General features: G+C 44.3%; 1 annotated feature.

Moving 5' to 3' along the window:
- Window positions 1,037–1,656: an enhancer, noted in NCBI's record as "NANOG-H3K4me1 hESC enhancer chr5:154653816-154654435 (GRCh37/hg19 assembly coordinates)". NCBI's record gives its function as "activates a minimal SCP1, AML or CMV promoter by ChIP-STARR-seq in naive H9 embryonic stem cells {active_cell/tissue: H9 hESC(naive)}" and the evidence as "EXISTENCE:reporter gene assay evidence [ECO:0000049][PMID:30033119]".

Raw genomic sequence — 5,489 nt, 5'->3', positions numbered from 1 at the left:
TTCTTCCATTGATGATTGGGTTAAGATCCCTTACTAAAGGGCATAAGGATGGATGGATCGATCCCCCTCCCTCTCTCTCTCTCTCTCTCTCTCTCTCTCTCTCTCTCTCCACCCACCACCCCCCCCACCCCCACCAGTAAAATGGGCATAACAAAGCCTACCTGCCAGCATGGGTAAAAAGATTGAGATAATGTGTGAAAATATTCTTATCAAGAGTATCTGGCATTTAGCAAGCACTCTATAAATATTAACAAATAAAGAGGAAAATAACAGAATTCAAGCTAACCCAATAAATTCCTTCCCATACCCCAATAAAAATGACTTGGGCAGCTGGTGATATGCCAGTATAAAGCACTTGGAGATTCCAAGAAATTGTTGAGTGGGTGAGAGCAGAAGCCAGGGGTACCCTGGTTTTAATTATTCGGATGACCTCATGAGAGTCACAAGCTGAGTCATCCGGGGACACAAGCCCACACAATGGAGTCAACAAATGGTACCCGAGCCCAGTGACAGAGGCCATATGTCCTCGTGGAAGCCCTGCAGCAGTTTCCTCCTCTAGCCCCGTGCAGGGCACAAAGAAAACACATTTCCATCTCTCCATTTACCAAGAAAGGACTAGAAAACCTCCTGTCTCCAAGGCCTCCTCTTCCTCGAAGACTTCTAGTTCCCCTCTTAAAGACACTGCCACCTCCTCCTAGTAGTGCCAGTTCCTTGTCACTGTAGCTCATGCTCACTGTAGAGTATAATATAGTGGTTACACATACCTGCTCTGGAGAGATGAGGCCTGGCTCAAGTCTCAGATCTGCTAGCTTCCAGCCAAAGGACCCTGGGCAAGTCATCTAACTTTTCTGTACCTTCACTCATCATCTGCCTGTAAAATGGAGAGAAAGGTTAATATCAACTTCCTAAGGTTGCTGCAAGGATTCAACAAGATGATGAATAGAAGCTGTTAGCAAGGGTCTAGCGTACAGCAAGGGCTCAATGAGTAATATCATCCTGGTCACTCTTTATCGAATCAGTGCAGGGCCAGAGTACCAAGGAAGAGTCTAGACAGAGCTCGACAAACCTTTGTGGCCACAGTGGTAGGTATGGGCAGGCACAATGCAACCTCCAAAATCACTCTTCCTGCCCGCTTCAGCAAAACAAACAGGGAAAGGCCCCTGTGCCTGCCAAAACTTTGCCTGGTAAATAATTGATGTCCCACCGTGTGTTCTTTTATTCAGAAGTGCCTTTGAAGTTTCCTCTCGCCCTTGCCGCAGGGATTTGGGGGATGGGGAGGATGTGAGGGAAGGAACTGCAGAAGAGGAACAAGCAGTGTGTGATCAGGAAGATGGAAAAACCAAAGCCATTTCTGCTACAAGTTCAAGTCTGAAGTCAACAATTGTAACTTTTAATCAAGCAAGGATTCCTAGCAGCCAAGTGCCAAAAAAAAGGGAAGATCAGGAACAATTCAAAAGCGATTCCTAGCAACAGCTGTGGGTGCTAGACCAACAGCTCCCTCCTGGGGAGGTGACAGTTGGTGAAAACAGTCTGCGGCAGGCAGGAGTTTACCTGGGCAAGAGCAGCCAGCAAGCCTCGTGGGGACTAATTATGAAAATATGATTATAATGGATTAGTAATCTTGTCAATCAAAGCCACATGCCAGGTAGCACCTAGCAGTGGGTGAAAATGCCAGTGGACAGAACAACGTGATGCTGTGGTTTTTTGAACAAAACGTTCTTCCCCAGGAGGAAAGGCCTGCTGGGGTCCAGGGGATGAGAACGTGTGGGAGAGGCACTAACAGGCCCTCTGGGGAGGGGCAGGCGGGATGCTCGGCAGGACGGCCCTAGCACATCTGCAATCGAAATTCTGCTTGGCGTCCCTTTATTGCCATCCATGAGAATTGGTCCAAAGCTTGCTTCCTGTTTTACATAAGCCTGAACAGAAATTAGTATTATCTTCCCATGGCAGTCAAGGAGAAGTAAATAGAGTTTAAGAAATGATGATAATTGTAATAATAACCACAAATACCTTTCCCTGAACACATAGAAGCTAGCTTGTGCCTAGCTTGGTGCCCGCGCTTTACAATCTTTATCTCATTTAATCCTTACAAAACCCTGGGAGACAGGGTTATTATTCTATCTCTACTGAGTAAACAGAAACTGATGTATGTTTTGAATTGACCAACGTCACACTACAAGAAAAGCAGATCAGCCCAACTCCAGAGCTCACTCCATCATCACCAGGTTCTGTTGCCTGTTGCAAAATGGTAACCCAAAACCTGAGCTCTTCCCTCTCCCTTGAATGCAGTCATCAAATATCCGCTGTGTCACAGTGACAACCATGAAAAAAGGAAAGGCCAGAGTCCAGAGGGCAAGATGCATAATTGGGAATCAGAACTATGTTTCTTTTTCTTTTTTCGTTTTTTTTTTTTTTTTTGAGACCGAGTCTCACTCTATCACCCAGGCTGGAGTGCAGTGGCACAATCTCAGCTCACTGCAACCTCCATCTCCCGGGTTCAAGCGATTCTCCTGCCTCAGCCTCCCAAGTAGCTGGGATTACAGGCACGCACCACCACTCCCAGCTGACTTTTGTGTTTTTAGTAGAGATGGGGTTTCACCATGTTGGCCAGGCTGGTCTTGAACTCCTGACCTCAGGTGATCCACCCACCTCGGCCTCCCAAAGTGCTGAGATTACAGGCATGAGCCACTGTGCCTGACCAGAACTATGTTTCTTAATAAGAACTACTTTTTTTTTTTTTTTGAGACGGAGCTTCACTCTTGTTGCCCAGGCTGGAGTGCAATGGCACAATCTCGGCTCACCACAACCTCCGCCTCCTCAGTTCAAGCGATTCTCCTGACTCAGCCTCCCTAGTAGCTGGGATTACAGGCATGTGCCACCACGTCTGGCTAATTTTGTATTTTTAGTAGAGACGGGGTTTCTCCATATTGGTCAGGCTGGTCTCAAACTCCCAACCTCAGGTGATCCACCCGCCTTGGCCTCCCAAAGTGCTGGGATTACAGGCATGAGCCACCGTGCCCAGCCAATAAGAACTACTTTTTATTGAGCATTTACTATGCCTTGTCATTGGATTTGTTAAATGAAGTTTAACCTAAAGCTGCCTCCTTAACATATTTCAACCTAAAGTTTTCTCCATGCGTAGTAACCTAACTGGATGTGTAAATGGACTACAACCCACTCTTGTGCCAATCACCGATGTGTAAATGAACTATAACCCACTCTTGTGCCAATCACCAAGTTTTGGCCAATCAAAGATGGCCAACTGTTTAAACTGGGTTCAAATAAGGCAAATGCTGAGCTGTAACCAATCCAGCTATTTCTGTACCTCATTCCCATTTTCTGTAAGTCATTTTCCTTTTTCTGTCCATAAATCTTCTTCTACCATGTAGCTATACTGGAGTCTTTCTGAGCCTACTCTGGCTCGAAGGCTGCCCAATTTGAGAATCATTCTTTGCTCAATTAAACTCTGTTATATTTAATTTGTCAAAGATTTTTATTTTCACAGATTAAATGCTTTGGTTGTATTTTGATATTAAATCCCTGATGTGAATGTACAAAGGAGGTATTATTATTCTACTTTCCAGATGAGAAAATTGAATCTCAGAAAAGTTGGAGAAAGGGCCCAAATGCCATAGAGCTGGCAAGAGTCAGAGGAAGAACTCTAGACGAGGCTGTTTTGATCCCTGAGCTTGGCTTCTTAGGTTCACTCTGTCCTGAGAGACACATCTGGGAGCTTTAACAAATCCTCATCAACCCTCACCCTGACCTTGTATGCAGAGCACTCCGCTAAAGACTCATCAGTTTGCTCTTTACCTTCCCCCTCCACAAATAGGGATAACATTTGTCAAGTCATTTGGGGTGGGGAAAAACAATTCTGTCCAAATTCATAGAATGAAATTTGGGAAAATTGTTAGTGAAAAATTCTACAATGACCTAGATTTCATTCATTACTTATCAGTGCTAAAGGATCAGAATGAAGAAGAAAACAGATCTGTTTTCTAGCTTATGATTGTTAGCATATGAAAAATGGAGGCATGCTCAGCTAAAATTAAAAAAAAAATGAAAATGTTTTTGTAACACTGTCACAGCCAAACCAAAAAAAAAAAAAAATACTACCTCAGTGGAACATGACTTGGTCTGCCACCTTTGCTTTACTCTCTTGTTTGAAACACTTACTATCCACCACAGTGATTATTTATTTAGATGGTTTACAAACCTCCACCGCTCCCCTGTGGGCAAGAGCTCAGTTTATAAATCACATCTTGTGCATCTCTGTGTCCAGCCCTGAGCACAGAGCCTGGTATGATGCTGAGCGGCTACTCAGCCCAGCATTGTATTATGGGTTCCCTCTAGCTAATCCTATGTGGAAGCAGAGAGATAAAAGGATCTCTTCTCTTCCTTTTAAGGCTTGACATCCCCCAGTCCTGGGGAGAAATTGATATAGGTGATGTATAGGAGGTATTCACCCCTCAGACTTACACTCCCTCTCGCTAACCTGGAAGAAACAAACCTTTACACACACACACAAAAAAAGTGTGTGCACACTGGCCTTTTGCAGTGATGGATGATGTTGTCAGAAACTTGATAGGTAGCATGAGCCATCTTGAAAAAGGATCTATACATAAAGTACACAAAGAAATAAGGGGAGTACACTCCAGCAACATTGATAGATTCCCCCATTTCAAAGATGCCACTCTCAGTGTATACCACAAGCACAGAGACCAGAGAAAGAGAATTCTTATAAAGAAGTCTGATGAATGCATATTAGCGCCTTGAATGAGATGTGTGAATCCTGGGAACCAGAGGCTAAGTCTATTGACAAACTCAGCAGATGCAGGAATGTGCCCATAGCTCAAAAACAGCCTTGATCCTCAGTGTCTTCTCAGTGAACAGCATCTGGTTGGCCTTGAATATATGATTCACTGTGTGAACCTCACTATTTCTGTACCTCCTCGTAAGCCTGCAGGATGAAACCATTGTGTTTCAGGGAGGGAAGGGGAAAAAAAAAAGAAAGAAATCCTTAAGAGAGCTGAATCATCCTTTTGAAATATGCTGGTAACTTATCCAGACAGCAACTTCAAAAACAAGGGTGCTTTAAGAAAAGAGAACGCTCTCTGAGTTCTAAAGAGATGAAAATCATGCTGTTCTTTAGGTCAAAGGAAATGACTCGTGAGCTTTCCTGGCAGTGCATAAAGCAGCTCAGTAGCTTCTTCTTTCCTCCAGGAGGAGGTCCTCCAACTAGTGAATGGCCTTTAACTCTCTGCCTAAAAGCATTGCCACCATTCACCCCTCACTGTCCTGAATGATGGCCCAGGTGCAGTCTTGCCATCACACCTCTATTCATATCGTCAGCATCTCCTGGACTCCTTTCCATTCCGGGAAAATCTCAGCTATCCATCAAAACCATATCAGATGCTTCCTTCCCAAATGTCTTAATCCATATAATCTCTTTTCTTTTGGAGTTACTGTTTAGGCTCTGAATCCTCCGG

This window comes from Homo sapiens, chromosome 5 (genome assembly GCF_000001405.40).
Source record: "Homo sapiens chromosome 5, GRCh38.p14 Primary Assembly".
Classification (NCBI taxonomy): Eukaryota; Metazoa; Chordata; class Mammalia; order Primates; family Hominidae; genus Homo; species Homo sapiens.
The sequence above is the reverse complement of the archived record's forward strand: the minus strand, read 5'-3'. Positions and strand labels throughout refer to the sequence as shown.